Source organism: Homo sapiens, chromosome 9, assembly GCF_000001405.40.
Source record: "Homo sapiens chromosome 9, GRCh38.p14 Primary Assembly".
Classification (NCBI taxonomy): domain Eukaryota; kingdom Metazoa; phylum Chordata; class Mammalia; order Primates; family Hominidae; genus Homo; species Homo sapiens.
Genome location: NC_000009.12, coordinates 2,073,657 through 2,094,146, shown reverse-complemented (window position 1 = coordinate 2,094,146; position 20,490 = coordinate 2,073,657). Strand labels below are relative to the sequence as shown.

At 39.8% G+C, this 20,490-nt stretch overlaps 1 protein-coding gene across 4 annotated transcripts in view; it reads right to left on the bottom strand.

The window, feature by feature from the left end:
• The window catches only part of SMARCA2 (SWI/SNF related BAF chromatin remodeling complex subunit ATPase 2), a 178,274-nt gene that overhangs the window by 99,474 nt on the left and 58,310 nt on the right, over positions 1-20,490 (bottom strand). For 3 of the 4 annotated variants that reach the window (NM_003070.5, NM_139045.4, NM_001289396.2), the window contains exons 13-19: positions 17,818-17,918; positions 16,371-16,518; positions 12,152-12,315; positions 10,734-10,800; positions 9,951-10,061; positions 7,076-7,318; positions 5,534-5,647 (exon numbers count right to left, since the gene is read on the bottom strand). In NM_003070.5, the coding sequence (NP_003061.3) occupies positions 5,534-5,647; positions 7,076-7,318; positions 9,951-10,061; positions 10,734-10,800; positions 12,152-12,315; positions 16,371-16,518; positions 17,818-17,918 (948 nt within the window). The remainder of the gene's footprint in view (positions 1-5,533; positions 5,648-7,075; positions 7,319-9,950; positions 10,062-10,733; positions 10,801-12,151; positions 12,316-16,370; positions 16,519-17,817; positions 17,919-20,490) is intronic. The other variant, NM_001289397.2, reaches the window with a different exon arrangement.

The window sequence follows — 20,490 nt, the reverse complement described above, 5'->3', positions numbered from 1 at the left end:
GTTTTTGTACTTGTCTCCAGGCCTGGGATATCCTTACTTAGTCTTAAGGCTCCTTTCTAACTCTACTCTACCTTGAGGGCCCTTTTTAAGATCTTTCCCAATCACACTATCAGCCAAAGCCAATTTCCCTTTCATTTCTCTCAAAGAAGTTTGTCAGTAAGCTTTTTTGATAATGGAGAAGAAAAACAAGAAGACATGCTGAAGCTCATTTTCCCAACATATATCTACATATTTATTTATGAATTACTATATGCATGCACTAATATTAATGTCTCAAGATATGAGTTACTTTCAGGGCACAGGTCAATGTTAAAGGAAGTTGATTTATAGCCCTATTTAAAGCTGCCAATTTGATGATATCTAATATTTTTGGTCAACTCCAGCCCATGTACCATGATGTGGCTGTTGAAAACCAATACTAGGAATGGGAAAAGAGACAAGATGGCCTTTTTCCCATTGTTCATCTATGCCTATGTGATTTCAACCTGCACTCCTTTGCAGAATCCTTTTAAGCCCTTCTGGGGACCAGGGTTGTTAGTTTAGTTAAAATCAGATCATACTAAATCTCCTTATCTGGGCACGGGGAAACCCATAAGGCCTCACCACCATTGGCAGAAAGTAAATGAACCAGGCAGCAAGGATGAAAGGACTATCAGATGCTCCCAGTGGTGGAAACCCACTCTCACGCTTCCCCTGGGATAACCTACACAGTGTACTCCCAGCACATGACTCGCTTTCAGACACACATACGTACCTACCACATAGGTACCGGTGTCAATCTGCATGTTAAATATCAGTGAAGACTTTTTAAGAGAAAGATCAATATATATGATTGTTCTAACATCTTTCTCCACCCAATGGATTACTAATAAGCATTTCCCAACACATACACCCATGTGTACATACTGGGTACCCCGTCCTAAACCACCTGAATGCCTGGATCATTCATTCTGATTGGTGGGATGATGCTGCCTTGCATTGCCACACTATTATTCAGTGTGAGTAGCCCTCATCTCCACAGCCAAGTCTGTTGACTTCTCACACCATGCCTCCCATTTCTGGTATATTGTGCCTCCCACCTGGCCTGAGTGCAGTATAACGTACAGAGCAGGCAATCAACAGGTTTGTATCAAGAAAAGGGATGGACTGAACAATTATACAGCCACCACACTGAATCACAGTGACGAGAGAAGTTTTTATAATAATCGTGCCAACTCCAACTCGGTTGAGTCTGAGTTCATCCCCCAAAAAATGTGATGGCATCTGTTTAGAGCATGCATGTGAAAGCTCCTCAAAATATACTGGTGCTATAGCAAATGAAACTTGTGACTTCTTCACGGGGGTGATTCTCCCAGTAAGTTAGGTTTGTGAGAGCCACTGGAGCTATTTTTGTTTAAATCATATGTAAAACTGAGGTGCTGACCTCATGTATCTGGTAATTATCTCCTAAGCATTCTTATGTTAGTAAATGGCCTAACTGGTCCCTAAAAGTAGGCAAATCAGGTCATTATACTGGCTCAGCATTTCTTCTTATATACCCCTGTAGAAGTATTTGAACTTTGTTCATAGCTTCTGCCTGAATACTATTCTTCATTTATAATTCCCCTTCCTAAAGGATGTTTTATTGGAATAATAAACCTAAACTACATGCGATATATCACCACTTTGTGAACTGAGATTTGTAAACAATATGATTCAATTTATGAAAAGTCTCAGGTTCTAAACGCTATGGCATGAGAGAGGAACAAAGTAATGATTAATTATGCTAAGCATTCCAAAATTTGATATAATGAATACACAAATTGCCAATGTAAGCAAAGCTTTGTTGGTGTTTTTCACAAATTATATCAGAATCAGGATTGACTTTAGGTAGGTCAACCTCTAGTTAACCTCAGATATTATATACATATTTTAGCATATTTAGACATAAAGAAATACCCAGCCAATTGCAAGTATAGTTGGTTCTTGATGATATGAATTAACAAAAGAGTCAGCACAGACAACCTTAAATGTGAGCTAAATAGAAAAATCAATTTTTATTTAGCTTAAGTTGTTCTTACATAATCCCTTTTCTATTTGGCATTCTTTCCCGTGCATAAGAAATGGATTTTATGACAACAGCTTAGCGGTGTTGGTGGTTGGGGGGTGGGTATATTCCCTTGCTCATTAAGTGTTTCATTAGACCAATATTAAAGCTAATTTTCCTATGCGGTTGACCTGCATTTACAAAACCGTGGCCTTTATATACCTGCTTTAGTTTCACCTGAGAAAGCACATGAAAAGATGCTCAACAATATTAGACATTAGAGAATGCCAATCAAAGTTACAAGACGCCACTATGCACCTATTGAATGGCTAAAAATCTTGAAAAACTGACAATAGCAAGCACTAATGAGAATGTGGAGGAAGTGGAATGGTCATATATTTCTGGTGGGACTACCCAGTGCTTCAGACAGTCTAAGAAACAATGCAGAAGTTTCTTACAAATCTATGTATACACTGACCATTCGATCAACCAGTCATACACCTAAGGCGTTTACTCAAGTGAAATGCAAACCTATGTTCACACAAAAACCTGTACATGAAAAGTTTATAGCAGCTCTATTCATAATTGTCAAAAACTAGAAATGACCCAAATGTCAAACAAACTGCGCTGCATCCATGTAATGGAATATTATTCAACAATAAAAATGAACCAACTATTGATACATGCAACAACATGGATGAATCTGAAACACATTTTGCCAAATTAAAAAAAACCATGCAAAAGGTTATACATTGTCTTATTCTACTCATACGACATTTTGGAAAAGATAAAGCTATAGACAGGGATGGAGAACGGATGAGTGGCTGCATGAGGCTACGAGCCGAGGGAGGGTTTCACTGAAAAGAAGTAGTACCAGGAAATACCAGGGAATTTTTTTTGGAGCGGTGGATGATGACATTGTTTTGAATTTTTGTTGTGGGCATGGTTAACACAACTCTTCATTTGTCAAAACTCATAAAACTATACACCAAAAGAAGCAAATTTTGCTACACATAAATTAAAAAATAAAAGTAAAAGCCTCTTTCCTATATGGCTCTTTTTTCATAAAAACATTTGAGAATTACTGCTGTGAAAGTATTTAGCCTTTTCCTCCATCTGCCGTAGTTCCTTTCTGGATTCTTTATCCAGGCTAAGTAAGACATGCACATTGTTTGTGGCTGTAAGCAGTGGTGGTAGAAGAAACTTCTTTACCCCCTAGGATGGCAATGAAATTTCCAACTTTCCCCAGGCTAAAAAAAAAAAATCCTAACAAGGCTGAAAAAGTAGAAAATGAACATCAGCCCAGCCATATCAACAACAACCACATACACACACAAAGTGCTTGAAAAGTTTATGGAGAGAGATGTGGGGGGGCTACCGGAAGGAGAGCAAAGACAAGAGAACAGCGAGAAAGAGCTTCAAGAATAGGAAAATGGAACTCCCATTAATAACAGAGACAGCAACATGAGTGGAAAATAAGGAATATGGTAGAAGCAGCTGTCATTGGTTGGGTGCCCACCATGTGCCTGGCATGGTATTAGGAGCCCTACATCCATTTAATCCTCACAACTCCATAAGACAGAGTCATTTATCTTCCAGTTCACTGATGAGAACACTAAGACCCATTTAGGTTAGAAGACTTGCCCAAGTTCACATAGTAAGAGATGGAGAATGTGGTGAAACCCATGCCTACTCTGACAGGCAGAGCCCATGATTTCCACTCCACCAAAGGAAAAGATAACATGGCTGCCTTTAAAGGTACAGATACCTCTAAAGGTAGATAATACCACACACTGAGTATTTTACATACCTCAAATATAATACTCTGGGTGTTAATAAATACATGTATACTTTATGCAAGAGACATACTCGTGATCATTTGAGGGTAGATACATTTCATAAAAATTTTATCATCCTTCAAGTATACTCAGGAACTTCTCTTGTAGAAAGAACCATAAAATAAATATTTTTGTAAAGCAAAGAATTCCTTTGTGATATAATTAATCACCTCATAATTCTTAAGCTGCAAAAATTTCAATTTTTCTCTAGTGGATTTTCTTACAACATAACATACTTTCAACTTGCAATATATTTTTAAAAATCTATCTGTATTAGCCAGTCTTAGAAGTGAATGAACAAGATTAAGAAGTCTTATGGAATGAATAAATGAAGGGCTTCAGTTAATTGCCTTTTATTTTATACCTCTTGTAAAGAAAAAAAAAGAAATTATGGGATAAATTAAAATGTTTAACATTCCATCTCTATCACTTGCAGAATCACCGTAACTGTATGCTAGGAAGTAATTCAAGGCACCCACATGGCCACTATACCCATTCATCAATTTATCTACTCAGTAACTAAACTCCATCTTGAACAGAAAGGGTGCTACCCAGAGGCCAAGACCACAGGAAGTCCAAGGGAATATCAATAGCATTCTACGTCCAAGATGCATTCACCAGCAGAATAAAATACTTAAATACGTAGACTTTCACTGAGATATGCATGGTATAAAAGTCATTTTTAATTTTTTTTCTGACAATGCATAAAGGATTAGGGAATAAAATTCTCTCGTAACAAAGTGATCAACGTTGTACACCATCTTGAAAACTCCCACTTAAAAATGAACAGGATGAACCAATCTGTCCAAAAATAGAGTCGTTACCCAGAAAAACCACAATCATGCAAAAATAAGACATTTCAGAATTGGCTCTTCTAAAGAAAAAACTCAAATCAAAATACCTCATGCAACAAATAGTACACAATGCTAAACTGTCTCTAAGAGAATGAAACTTAGAATTCAAATATGCATGGTTCCAAAATATGATCAGAAACATATTAAACTAATACTCACATCCAACCCCAAAACATGGAGCTAAGGGCTCAAAAGGTGTTCTAAAGTACTGCAGACTAAGTTTCCAAAAGTTAGTCCGAAAAATACTGGCTTAAAATGTTCACAGGAACTTAATTTTTATGGCACAGAACAAAAATAATGTCCCCGAATAATTAGATGATGTGTCTGTAATTTGCAGGAACTCTGTTTTTTCACTTACTGTCAGAATGGTGACATCACAAACATCAAATGTTAAATAAATTTCTAGAAAACCTGTAAATGTTTACCACCCCCTTCAATGATGATACAAGTCCCCAACGCCAAATCTTCCATTCACTTATAAGCAGAACAATTCTACAGTGCCTGCAACAGTGAACTCAATGAGGTCCGTAATTTAAAAAAAAAAAAAAATCTAAAATTAAAATGTAAATGAGACTCAGTGAATTTGATAATTTCATAAAATCTGCTCGAACGCTTTTGGAAAACAGGCTGCAAATGCTATAATTTCCCTGCTCTCTCTAGCCCTATCAAACAAAAAAACAATTTAAGATATTTTCAAGATACTATTAACTACAATATGAGTCTGCTGTTTCAGAAACACAATTTCAGAGGCAGGTACTTCAAATATATTTGCTGGAGGAAAAAAAAAACCCACAACTTTTGGTTGTGCAACATACTTTTTCGGGAAGCTGGGATTCAACTTCTTTCTTCAGTCTCCTTAGTAAAAATGGTCTTAACACCTTATGTAGACGCCTGATGATCAATATAGTTTCTTCTTCATTTAAGTCCACCTGTAAGAGAGGCTTATTATGAATTTGATTTTTTAAAGAAAAGGATGTTTCATACAATAAAGCTTTATGTTACATATGTGTGGTTCAATACATGATTGACATTTTACATGCATTAAAGCCAAGTTTAAGCCTGTCATATCTACCTCTGAATTATCTTCCCACCTGCCTACCAAGTGGTAACAAAATGACCTCTAAATAGGTGTCTTTGTCTTAACGCTGAGTTCTATGGAAAAGAGCCCGGAAGCCACCAGTTTTTTATCAGTAGTGTCAACAGCCTCAAATTGTATGGGATATGACTGTCAATGAAGACAGACTGAAGACTGAGATAGAATGGGAGAAGGTGGGCAACAGTTAATATGTTCCCTATTTAAAGTGGCAGCCTTAAGTTAGGCCCTTCGTCTTGGTTGTCTCAGACACAGAAACATACTAAAGGAACAGGGGCTTGAACATATAAAGAAGAGGAACAAGAGTTGATCCAGTTTATGCTGGTGGACCTCTAAGTCCCTCTAACTTCACTCCTTTCCTTTTCTCAGCCCTATCTAGTTCAAGTTTAGTCCATCTTATACATTTCCCGGCTTTCTCTTTCACCTTCTCCTATTAACCTCTAGGGGGCAGAGTTGATTGACACTACTTTCTACAAATGGGCAAGCCAGTGAGTTAACTACTGAGGATGGGCCCATGTGCCTCAACATCAAAGGGCCAAATAATTCAAACCGAAATTTTACTAAAGCATTTTTAGTGGCTTTTCATTCCTATGAATGAGGAACCACTATGAAAATGACACGTGCCCATTTCTTTTCTTGCAATGGCCCATTGTCTACCTTTCATAAATGAGCTCTTAAGAGAAGACAGTGGAAGGAACAATAAGAAATTGGAAAATAAATGGCTACTCCAGGAAGACTATTTATGTACACACAAAACTGAAAATCACATTAAAACCTAAAAAGAAAAAAAAAAGGTCTGCAGAAAATGTGTGAAAACTAGTTCTGTTTTACACACAAAATCTTTATGTGGAAATATTTTAAAGGGAACTCCAAGTTTGTAACAAGGAAAGATTTGTTTAAAGCTTGTATTTAGTTGGTTAATTTGGTCTGGTTAAATTACTTCAGCAAAATATCTCCATGTTCATCCTCCCTGTGGCCCACTGCAGTTAAGCATTCCACCGGTTGGGACCCTTTTCTGGTAGCCTGGTAAACATGCTGGCAAAAGACAAAGGGGTTAGATGCCCCATGTACCACTAGATCCATTTTCCTAGGAGGGGAAAATAACCCCACCACAAGACCATGTCCACCCACCGATGGGTTTCATAAAATAAACAACAGTGGAAACCACCCTGCGGGTGTTCTGTGGCTCTAATGTTCTCAGCTTTAGGGCCTTTCATTTCATGTCATTATCATGCAGTGGAAAAAACAGAACTCAGACCAGTACCCTTTCACCAGTCATGGCAAATGGAGCATTGAACCATTGTTCAAATGTGCTGCAGCTCTTAAAAATTGTTGGGAGGAGGAAGTTGAGGAGGGCCCAGAGTTCAGGGAGCTTATTCTGCAGCGGGGTCCCAGTCAAGAGGATCCTTCTGGGGGCCACATAGTGAGTGTTCAAGACCTGAGTCAGCTTGCAGTGGTGATTCTTCATTCGGTGGCCTTCGTCCACTATCATGTATTTCCACCGAATCTATAACACAAGAGGAAGGACGGACGTGTAGTAAGCAAGGGAAAATACAACTATTTCCAACAAGCAAGTGGTGGTGCGGAAAACCAAAGAACCCATCCTTGGTATATGATATGCTGTGATTACCTTTGAGACAAGGGAATCTCAACAATGTCTCATGCCTGATAGGCCGCATAAGACATCCTATAATAATAGAATGTTAAAGGAACAATGTTCCTTACAGACCACGTAATTCCAAATCAACTTTTTACAAAGAAGGAAATTTGGGTCCAGAATGACATGGTTGTTTCCACGTGTGGATCCTGCCTCTCCCCATCCAATGCCCCTTCTATTAATACGTTATCATGACAGCTATCCCAGATTTCATGGTCATGCTATTTCAGCTCATGACAGGCACAGAATATAGGTACCCACCTGAAGCAGAGGTTAATGACTGATTTTTCCAAGATGGCCCTAGCAGGTTCTACAGCTGAGATATTCTTGGCTCCATGCCTTCTTTTCTATTAGCCTGGCTGGTTACTACCTTTAGGGCTTGGCCCGGAAGTGTGTTTTGTTTTGTTTGGACTGGTTGCTAACATTTAAAAGTTGGACTATTTCACATTAAATTTGTACATACGGCTTTTCAAAAATTAGGTCTGACAACGAAGCTCCCTCAATACACGCACATTCCTTACCTGCCAGATCTAGGACCCCTGTTTTATCTAAAATAAAAGAATATACTCACTGGCAGAAAGCGCACTGCAAAAATATCACTCCTGTATTTATGCCAAAACTGCAGAATTAAATACAGCATACTTCCCCAACATGACGATTGCGTAAAACGTCCAGAATGCTTATATGGCCCAGTCCTCCTTCCTGTCTACACAGTACGTTCCCTCTCTCATACCTTACCCTTCAGTCCTCTTAAGAGCACTGTTCAGTTTCTTAAAGTGAGAACAATGAGGAATGTTCCACTAAGCCTATCCATTCTCTACAAAACAGTGGCAATGGCCAAGAAAAACATCTGGTGCTCAGATGTCCCCAGATCCTGCTGCAAAGCTCCTAGAGAGAGAAGGGAGATGAGGAAAGTATTCTATACAGTCCTTGCCTTCCTCATTAGAAGCATCAGACGTGCCAGGAGAAAAGGAATAAAATCATCAGTCAGGCTGGGATGTACAGGTAAGAAAAAAACAAAAAAAAAACTACCTCGATTTTTTTTCCTTCCTCCACCACCTCTAAGAAAAGTGTTTAAGGATAATTAAAGCTGTACAATCAACTGCCTCAGACTTACCAACAGCATGAAAAGAGGCAAGCAGACAAAAAATATATTTAAATAAATATCCTAAATCTACTTTCCTGCCTAATTTAGCTTATGAAATAATAAAGAATCAGAGGCCTTTGATTTTGCTATGGGGTCTACTACTAATTAGGTCTTCCACTTGGACAAAATTACTACCTCTTTCTATAGCTCCATTTCTCCAGTAACAAATAAAAGCAGTGCATCTCATTACCAGGCGTCTCCAATGAATCTTGAAATACATATGCAGAAGACACAAGATGAATTTTTTTAAAAGGATCTCAAATGTACAAACACATTCCCATAGTAATATTGAAAACACATCATTTTTGACACTGCCAAATTCATCTCTGAGTGTGAGGAGGTGGAACACAGCATTGTTGCCAGTGCCATCTCAATTATTAAACCTCCCCTGGGAACACATTTCCTTTTTGTTATTTCCTATGATGCCATGAAGGGAACTCTCAGTTCCCAGAGCAAGAGTTTAATGCAGAGGTAGAATAGACCCCAGAAATAGAGGTTCTATTCAATTTTGGACATAACTTAGTTTCAGATTATAGTGCTTTCAAAACGTCATGGGGTAAAAAAAATTACTAAAGAGGAAAAAAAAGAGTTTTCATTATTTGTTCCACGAAAGAGAGCACTTCCATCTTTCTACATGAACGTATTAGAAGACAAGATGATATAAATGGGAGTAAAAATTTCTACTTTGTGGCTAAGGAACAACTTAGGACATAAAAATTAGGAGACATGTAAGTCACAGAAACACCTCTTTCTCAGTTTCAAATAAATAGTCACAGAAACAACCTTAAGTAACTCCAACAATGATAGTCTATTATTTCACCAGGAAAAACCTGAAACAAGACTACCACAAAAGCCACGGCTTGGATAAATGTTCATATGGTGGAGACCATATGGAGAGGTGTCTGGCTCATCTTTGGAGAAACAAAGGCACAAGAAGAATGAAGGTACACTGACAATATCTCAGGGCAACAAAAACAATTATTTCTTTCCCGAGAATGTGCAAAGCTGTTAGAGAGAAAAAGAGTTGCAGAAGCAACCAGGTGAATTTTTTTAAGAGATGTAAACTCATCAACTCTGAGGGGATAGACAAGAGCCGCCCCAGGATCAATCATAAACACACACACACACACACACACACACACACACACACACACACACACAGCATGCATGAAATCAAATCCACGACCAAAACATATCAAACTCTGAAAAAATTTTAGAAAAATAAAGAAAAGGACAAGCCATCTAAGGATCCAATTACACTACTGACTTGGGCAATACTTCACATTCCAGTGCAATGGTCCTAATTAGAGAGAAAATAATTTTTTAAAAACATACCTTTGCAAGAATGTGCTTGTCTTTTATAATATACTCATAAGTAGTCAAGAGGACATTGAATTTGCCACTCCGTAGCTGGGGGACAAGGGAGCGACGCATGGCAGGAGTACCCTGAATGGAAAGAAAAAAATACATGCATGATCCTATGGACATATATGTGCATTATTTCTCACTTTTCATAGCTTAATGATGCCCAGACATGTGACTGAAGAATGCACAGACACACATTCTCATAGACTGATCTATTATACACGAGGAAGTTTTGGCTAAATTACACGTCTTGACCCTTTTCAGATCTTTTTTTAGAAAGGTTTTCCCACCAAAGACAGTGGGAGGGCAAAGGGAAATGGAAATGACAGTGAATTTGTGGTAGTAGAGAACCCACCGCTCTGCTGAAAGGCTCCAGTTCTGTTGAGAAAGTACAGCAGGCAGCCCCGGGCATCCGGGTAATTGCCTGACTTTGCAGGAACAGTCAGCACAGTAGCAGCCCACAGCGAGCCAGTCAGCAGCACGCAGAATGTGTGATATTTGTCATTTGTATTACTCTCATCAGAAACCTTGCAATATGATAATTAACAATTTTCTTCTGGATTTCACTATCTGAAAGTAATTATGGTTTATTACAGTAATCTTCTTGGGATGATTAACTCTCACGGTTTAGTACATGATGTACATGACAAAACTTTACAACCAAATACAGTTCACAGATGTGCATATGGAATGAAGAAAATAGGGTCTATTTTTTGCTTTTCCACATTTATATATAAATACAGCATTCCAAACCTTGTAAGAAATCTTCACCACAGAAGGAGCCCATTTGTCAAATTCATATGTCCAGTTAGATAGAGTCCTATGGAACAAAAAAAAAAAACAACAGAAAAAAGACATTTGTATAAAAATCAATGGTTAAAAAGATGTTCTTATTCATGTTCAGGCCTCACCTTGAAAGGGGCTACAGAATATAACATATCTCAACAAGATATTTATTTTAAAGGTGTGGAAATAGGAGATAAGTTCAAAACAAACTGTCACAAAACATGACAAGTTTGTGGTTCATAAAAAAATCTTGTAAGAAAAAAACTAAAGAATACATAAATATAGAGAGCAAAAAACTAAACTGTAATATGATATTAAAAAAGAGCAATTGCCAGAATGATTTTAGGAATCTTCATAAACAGCCATATAGGTTCAGAAAAAAGATGAGTCAGGAAAAAGAAATTATAAAACCACATGAAAACATAAAATAAATCTGTCAAGAGGGAACAGGGGAAGAAATATTGAATGACGTTTTTTAAAGCCCTGAAAGTGTCACTGTATATATGATTCAGAACACGCAAAATATAGATCAAATGCAAAAGATGCCTAAATATTACAGATACAGATAATTCATACAAAAAGGGCTGCAAATAGTCTTCATTAGAAAAAATTCAAAGAAAACACAATAATATTAATAGAATCCTTCTTCTTACTGAAGGTCCAAGTTCATATCAGCATTGAGATCTATAACAAGACCTTGGTGAACAAAACTGCAACCTAACACCCACAGGCAGACACACTGAACTCCCAGGAGGGTGCTTGTGAATCACTGTGCCCTCACTCGGTAGTGCCCACTTAGGACCTTCTAAGAACCACCTAGCAGGTGAGGCACTGGGAACGTAATGGCGAACAGCAAACTCCTGTCCTTACTAAGCAGCAAACTCATTGAAACATAACCTCAGTGCACATACTAAGGTTATTTTAATGCAAAACTCCTAGTTATGATTTTGATTTATGTTCTGCTTTTAAAAGGAAGATTTAAGAATATATCATCTTTTGGAAATGGAATAAGGAAAAAATCAAAGAAATCACACACACACACACACACACACACACACACACACACACACACACCTTTCCCCTTTGTGAGCCACTTAAGGAATAATGATGAGCAAGACTCACTATGCAGTGTTCAGGCTGTGCAGACCTGTAATGCTGATGGCCGATAAAATCACTCGGTCCCGTGCTTAAATAGCCAATCAAACAGGCTAGGATGGGGAGGGGTGGGAAATTAAAACCTAAATCCAGATTACATGCTCTTGGTAATCTGGATTTAGGTTAGTACATGCTACAATTCTGTCTTAAGTAAAAAACAAGGACAAGCTACTAATCGGGCACTCTACAACATACAGAACGATGACTGTGGAATAAATGACTTTACTTACGAAAGGGGAACAATGATGAGATAGGGGCCATTGAGTCTTTTGTGCTCCATCAGATAAGTGATGAGTGCAATGGTCTGTATGGTCTTTCCAAGCCCCATTTCATCGGCTAAGATTCCGTTCAAGTTGTTATTATACAGGGAAACCATCCATTCCAGGCCCTGGAGCTGAAATGAAGAGTAATTGCTTCAATTATCCAAGATCTGCACAGGTAATTAATCCTAATACAACCCAAGTGAGGGTGTGACTTCTTAACTCCTCACTGCTGTATGTTGGGTTTCCCACAGTAGGAAAATGGGGGAAGCACCAATGCAAAAAGAATGTAAAATATGAGCCTGATCATTCTCTCCATGAGTAAGCTTTCTCTCTTCTTGCTTCTTGACAGGTGAGTTTTAAAGCAGCTTTGCCGCTCATCCACACTTAGTATTTCACAGTATGTGACATTCTAGAATTATTATAAATGAAAAAAGCCCAAACCAAAATCTAATCCAACCACTCCAAGAATAAAAAGCCAATGTGAAGGCAGATTTGGCACACAGATCACAGATTATTAAAAACAGCCTTTTCGGTAATATGGGTGAGGTCCCCTCAGTGAAAAGGCGGACTGACCAGGGAGCCAGGGACACTCTGCTGGGACCACAGGAGGACATTTCTCTTCCTGGCAGAGAGAAAGTTCCCAGACAGCACATGGGAACTTTGTAATGTGAGTACTACCCAAAGGCTGCACACTGGAAGCTGGCAACTGGAAACATGCTCAACGTATTTCTGAAGTACAAAAACACTGTACCAGAGATTCCCCACGTTAAGTACAAAAGTAAGGTTGGGTGAAAATACAAAATTGTTAAACCTCCATCCCCCAACCAACAATTCCCTTCCACCATCATACCACAGATGCTGGATTTAAATGATAGGATCAATTATATATATGTTTGCTAAAGTCAATTTAGCTTGCTAATGATGTTATGCTTAGGGAAATGTTAATTTTTTATGTAAGAACAAAGCAAGCAATTAGTTTATTTAAAATATTTATTAAATGACTATTCTGTGCAAGGGGCCATGCAAGGAGCTGTAGCAGATAGATACCAAGGTCTGTAAGATGCATGCCTCCCTTCAGAAGCTCAAATAAAAGAGAAAACAATGAATGAGGCACATATACACATATGCCAAGAAGTGGTTGACAGTGCCAATGTATATGTATACATATAAAACTGTATTGACAAGAATTTTTCTTAGGGAGACACCGCATTGGTTTGAAGCAATACTTCCATAAGCCACTTGAGATACTTTGTACCATGCAAGATTCCAAAGTCATCCTAAAGGTTTCTGCAGAACTACAACAACAACAAGAGATAAGTAGAGAAACAGGAAGAACCTCCAAGAGAATGGGCAAAAGATAGAGGGAAAGAGGGGAAATTATTATAAAACAAACAGTGGTAGACAGGAGAAGCTGTCAGCCTGCAACGTGACCCTGAAACCACTAGAGCTTTAGAAAAGTCAACTAAATACAAGAAACATTTTGGATACTCTGTAGGATGAATTTTTGTTTCTGCTTTTTTTAGAGAAAATTGGTAAAGGGGCTGAATTTTGCGTTTGTGCTAATTCAATACAAAACAGAAGTAGAAACTAGCAGCAGAGGAGACTAGAAATTCACAAAAATTGTGGGAAGTAATTTGGATTTTCTCAGGCTGGAAACTGGCAGAATTGGCCAGGGGGAGGATTAGATATTGAACCAAGCTTATGTGGCTCTCTAGGAGTAGCAGGAAGACCTCAGCCGTGTCAAGGTTAAGTAAATATTAATGACACAAAAACCTGTCAAGAAGCAAGAAGATAGAAAGCTTACTCATGGAGAGAATGATCAGGGAAGGCTTTGAGCCACAACTTGAACTGGTTTATGAGAAATGATCAGGGAAGGTTTGAGCCACAACTTGAACTGGTTTGTGAGATCTCATCAGGCGGACATGGCTAGTCAAGATTCCAGGAAGAAGGCACTTCATAAGGTATAAATCCAGAGAGACACTGCAAGGCATGTTCGGGGAATCTACAGCAGCTCAGCAACACAGAGGCATAAAACTCACATATGGAAGTCGAAGGAGCTAGGTTTGAAAAGAGAGTGATGAAGACTGCTTAGAAGGGTGTTGGATGACAGAAGAAAACCCATGTGGCATTACAAGTTATTCACAAATAATTCAAAAGATGGATCTCCCATATGCAGATATACAAAAGTTTATTAGAGCATGCTATGAGTTAACATCTATGTCAGGTAGGCCAAACAAGATGAAACCTGCTTTGGATCTCAGGACTATGACATGGTCTTTGGAGAAAACATGATCTTACTAAGGCCAGAGCAGTGGTCCTCAGAATGTGTTCCAGGGGTTCTCAGGGCCCCCCAAGATCTTGGAAGGAGATCCACGAGGTCAAAATGATTAGCATGACAATACTAAGGCATTACTTGTCATTTTTACTGTGTTGACGTCTGCACTGATGATGCAAAAGCATTGGTAGGTAAAAACTGCTAGTGCTTCAGCACCATCAAGGCAGTACTGTACTGGCAGTCATTGTATTCTGCACTCCTATGCAAGGGCAGCAGACACAGTACCAAGTGTTAAGAGTAGAGAGGACCCGATGCCAACAAGTACACTTCCTAAAGTGTATTCTAGAAGACGCTAGTCTTACAGGATGTTAATTGGTGATATAAAAATAGGGTTTGGTAGTCAAAGAAATTTGGGAAATATGAAGTTAAACAATGTTAAAGAAGTGATTTTACTGCAGGATGCTGATGTGCCTTATGGTTACATGTTGATTTCCGCAGAGTCCCAAGTGTGCTGACGGGCATGTGAATTAACAAGAGGGGTCACTGCCAGAGTGACCGTATCTGGTTGTTGTTCAGGGACAGTCCAGGGTTATGCCTATTATCAATAATAAGGCCCTCGACTCACGTTCACAAGTATTCAAGTTAGAAATAGTAATTTATATGGTAATCTTAGTTACAGTATTTGGCCACAAACCTCTTTTTTTATTTATCTATTTTTATTTTTATTTATTTATTTATTTTTTTGGATAGAGTCTCACTCTGTTGCCGAGGCTGGAGTGCAGTGGTGCTATCTCGGCTCACTGTAAGCTCCGCCTCCTGGGTTCACGCCATTCTCCCGCCTCAGCTTCCCGAGTAGCTGGGACTACAGGTGCCCGCCACCACACCCAGCTAATTTTTTTGTGTTTTTAGTAGAGACAGGGTTTCACTGTGTTAGCAAGGATGGTCTCAATCTCCTGACCTTGTGATCGGCCCACATCAGCCTCCCAAAGTGCTGGGATTACAGGCGTGAGCTACCGCACCTGGCCTCCTTTTTTAATTTTTAAGGAACAATTCATAGAACAAATGTCTCATGGAACACAATTTGGGAAACGTCACTAAGTGGTAGAAGGTAGAACACAGGGAATTAGCCTCAATCCAGACAGGTCAAATAAAACAATGGCCTAATTTTTAATCAAAGCACAGATGCTCACAATTTTATTGTTTCTTTTTTTTTTTGTAGATGGAGTTTCACTTTGTCACCCAGGCTGGAGTGCAGTGCTAAGATCTTGGCTCACTGCAACCTCCACCTCCGGAGCTCAAGCGATTCTCCTGCTTCAGCCTCCAGAGTAGCCGGGATTACAGGCATGTGCCACCACACCCAGCTAATTTTTGTATTTTTAGTAGAGAGAGGGTTTCACCATGTTGGCCAGGCTGGTCTCGAGCTCCTGACCTCAAGTGATCCACCCACCTCAGCCTCCCAAAGTGATAGGATTACAAGAGTGAGCCACCATGCCTGGCCTATTGTGTCTTAAGAAAAAGCATAAATGTAGTAGACAGCTACTCCTAGGTGGGTTCAATCCACGGCATAAAACCACAGCCACACCTAAAAATTTTAAAGAAATACTTCAAGATGAGGCGTGGATGTTCTCCAGTTTAATAGAATGTGGCTGGGTTTTCCATTTTGCAGAGATCACTTAAAATACATCCCAAAAGCATAAAAGAGAAAATGGGTATGGCATGCCCTAGTAAAGATGGTAACATGGAGTACTCTAAAAGAAGAATCATAGGCACAATGAAAGGAACCTCAGTATTATAAGTGATGTGGCCTAAAATATCATCAAAAGCCCTTAGTCAACATGTGCACGACATACTTCAATCAAAATTAGGTAAATGGTTACAACTTGCCAAGGAAACTGAAACCATGCCAATTACCTGGTAATGCTTTAGGGTCCCATTAATTAGGAGGGCAGACTGTTTCTCCACCCTCTCCGAGATGGCATGAGCCACGGTGTAGTAGGACTGGGAGCCCCTGGCACTGTACTGCATGCTGTATTCATCATCCACGTCTTGCTTAGCTGTCCTGGGAAAGGAAAAAGTGGAGAATCACACACAGACATGTGCGTGCATGTGTTGTTTTACTTCACTCAAAAAATGATTTGAGAACCTAAAATAGCTGCAATAAGTGTGTTTTATTTATCAACCACGACTTGCCATGCAGTTAATATACACTATCTGTAATCCTCTCAAAAAGCAAGCACAAAAGGCGTTATGATGATCATCCCCATTTTATGCAGGTGGAGAACCCGAGGCTTAGAGAGGTTACTTCATTTGTTTGGATCACATAAAAGGTAGTGAAACCAGGATTCGAATGCAGGCCCCCTTGACCCAAAAGACAGATAGGAGCCTGAACCCTACACCTGCAGATGAATACTTTGCCGATGAAGCTGTCCTAGACTGTTAAATACAAAGATAAATCCTATTCACAGAACACTGGCTAAAGCTGGGAGGGCAGGGGGAGAGGGCAACCCAACATTAAAGGGGTAGGAAGGAGGAAAGGTAGGCTTCTATCTTCTGTGCCTTGTTCATGAGCTACTCTGCTATTCTACAGGCAATGAGGAACCACTGAGGGGGATTCTTAACACCTTCAGTGAAGGATCAGGGCAGACTGCTAGGAGGAAGGGTCCCTAAAGTGGGGCACACAACCATGGAATAAAAGGGAGAAATATTAGGATGTCTATTTCTGGTTTTTAAAATACCTCATCTTTTATATTGTTTCACAACAGTTTTCTTTTAATAGTACAGCTATACAAGCAAAGAAATGTGCAAACCCTTGACGTAGAGGGCCCACAGGAATGGATGAGACACAGAGCCAGGGCACTCGGAGGGCTGGAGAGGGTTCAGGGACTGGGCGAGAGTTGGTGGTCAACTTGGCTATGGCAGCAGGAGTAAGACAGGAATGGTGTCTCTCACTTGGGTTTCAGGGAGACTGCTGATATCATTAAGGGAGGCAGGAAAGGCAGCGAAGCAGCCAGTTAGGGAGATAAGTTTCATTAGTTCAATCTGGGACTGAGGTGCAGACGACAGGTGTGAGGCTCAGGAGTGAGCCTGAGCTGGAGGTGGGGATTAAGGAGAGAGAAGGGTAAGGAAGTGAGAAAGAAAGGGAAGAAAGGGAAGGAAGGAAGGGAGGGAGGGATGGAGAATCAACACGAAACCCCGAGACCTGGGAACCCAGAACTCAGTGGTGACCTCTAGGAGCACAGTTTCAAGCAGAGTGTAGGCGTGAAGTTAGTTGCCTTCCTTGAACAAAATTTCCTAAAAGAAAATTCATTAAGCATCATCCTCATGCAATGCATTTCCAAGGGAAAAATGCAGTACATACTCAATGATCTGCTTAGCATCCTTCTCAGAAACTTCTTCGCTATTTGGATCCAGGAGTATTTTCTCTTCGGTTTCCTGCCTACTGGACTCTTCTTCCTCATCCTGGAAAAGGAACAAAGATAGGGAGGAAATTATATTTTAACAAGGAAATCTCTATGATTGACATTTTCTGAAAAGACATAAACTAGTATTGAACTTCACAAATGAAGTAAGATCATAAAATTCAGGGAGGAAGTAAATGTAACATCTACTTAAGTAAGGTAATACCCCCAATTCAACTGCTGTTGAAATCATGAATGAGATAATGAAGGGAACTCTCTGAGGATCCCCTAGAACCCTTGCTCCCAAGAATGAGTATGTAAATATCATGCCAGAAACATAAATGTTTATCATTATTTGGTTATCAGAGTCCTGTAGAGCATATCTGCTCTCACTCAGTAGCACTCTCTCCAAAGCCAGATTGTAGAGCTCTTAGGATCCTCCTTCTCATAAAAACACTCTCTCTGATGGCTGGGTGCAGTGGCTCATGCCTGTAATCCCAGCTACTCGGGGGGCTGAGGCAGGAGAATCGCTTGAACCCAGGAGGCAGAGGTTCCAGTGAGCCAAGATCACACCACTGCACTCCAGCCTGGACAACAAGAGCGAAACTCTGTCTCAAAACAAAACACAAAACAAAACAAAAAAAATCTACTCTCTCTGATAATGCCCATGGGACTTGGATGGCCCCATATATGTCCACTGTAGAGGACCTGGATCTTGTAAACACACTGCTTTCTGTGGCTGATTCACATCACACATTGCAGAGTACTGAGATTAAAAACTCTCAATAACTTGGCGAAGGATTCAATACCTCTCCCTTCTCAACCGAGTGCTACATCCAGCTGACCCATTTGAAAGCATCACTAAGTAAGTGTCCATTCTGTCCACTACTAACCTGGTGTAGAAGGCTAAATCTTTCCAGACAATCCAGTAGAATTTCCTTGAAAAGCAGGTTTAAAGAGAACTATGCTTTTCCATAACTCTTAAATGACAAAGTATGAATTGACAAACTATCAAGGAGAAAAATCAAACCTTATGATAGCAGATCATTTAGAAGCAGGGAGTCAGCTAAGGCCTTGGCACAACTCCTTCATTTTCCAGGCCAGGAAATAAAACGCTGAGAGGGGACATGACTCTCCACATGTCACTCAGGCTCACCTGCAGCAGACCCATGTGATGGGCCCAGGGACAAGGGCTGTCTGTGCTTGTCATTCTCAGGATGGCACCTGCTGGCTAGGCGGCCTACTTCATCTTATCTCTGCCCTCTCTGGCTCTCTTATTCAAAGAGAAGCTTCTTCCAGTAGGTCACTTATAAGCCCATTCATCCAAGTAAACAAGACACCTTTAAATATCTTAGAGATAGAGTAGCTGGGGGAAACAAATAGCATCCCCCAAAAAGTATTTGCTTTTAAAAAACAAAACACAACAAAACAGGATCTTGCTCTGTCACCCAGGCTGGAGTGCAGTGGCACGACCTCAGCTCACTGCAGTCTCTGCCCAGGGCTCAAGCCATCCTCCTACCTCAGCCTCCCGAGTAGCTGGAACTGCGGGCATGCGTCACCACGCCCCGCTGATTTTTGTGTTTTTTGTAGAAATGGGGTTTCACCATGTTGCCCAGGCTGGTCTCGAACTCCTGGACTCAAGCAATTCTCCTGCGTCAGCTTCCCAAAATGCTGGGATTATAGGCATGAGTCACCATGCCCAACCATGTTTGCTTTTTAATGATTATGCTTTTTTGTAATGTAACTTTTATTATTCTTTCTCTTTACAAAAGCATTAAGTGCTCATGGAAGACTAATTTGGAAAACACAGGTCCACAAATAGAAGGAAAACAGCCATAGTCTTGAGACCCTGGTAAGCTATTATGGGTAAGGATGTTTTACCTTGTCCTCGGCACCTATACTACGGCACTCTCAAAAATATCAGATCTAATGACAATATATTAACAATGCTCTAATAAAGGAGAGCAAATCTTCTTTTAATCCTTCTATTTGTAATTATTAAATTAAACATTTTGTGGCTGATTTAACAAATATTTTATTATTTCTCAATTTCTATTAAAAATACCCAAGATTCCCATTTTAGGTTCTAGTTATACTAAGTATTCCTTCCAAGAGACTGAGCGCTTCTCTTTGGATAACAAGTATATCTAAGGAATTCAAACAAGAATCACATTTGGAGAGAAATCAAGAGGATCAATAAACTCATTAAACCAAGCCCACGTTGCCCTTTTTGTCAAAGTTTCCAGACTCAGAATTGCAAATAGACTCGAAGGTCTGAAGGACTTCAGAACTTTTTGGCAGTTAATTCTCAATGTGAACCACTTAGAGGTATGGTATGGCCTTTCCCAAGGTAATCCATCTCCAATTCTCCCCCAAAAGACCACTTCACCATCTCCCAAGTTAATGCCAGCTTCTCTTCTCTTGGTTTCAAGTGAATTTAGAATGTGCCAGGTTTCCCCATTAGCCAGGGCCTTCCAAGAGATCACTGTACCACTAGGCATACACCATCAAAGCATTTGTAAATCCTTAGCCCCAGCTGTCACCCAAAGGCCAATCCTGGAGGAAGAAATGATAGAAGGACCCAAGGCCCGGGCTTACATTCAGGAAGAATTTCTTCCTCTGATAACTTTCAA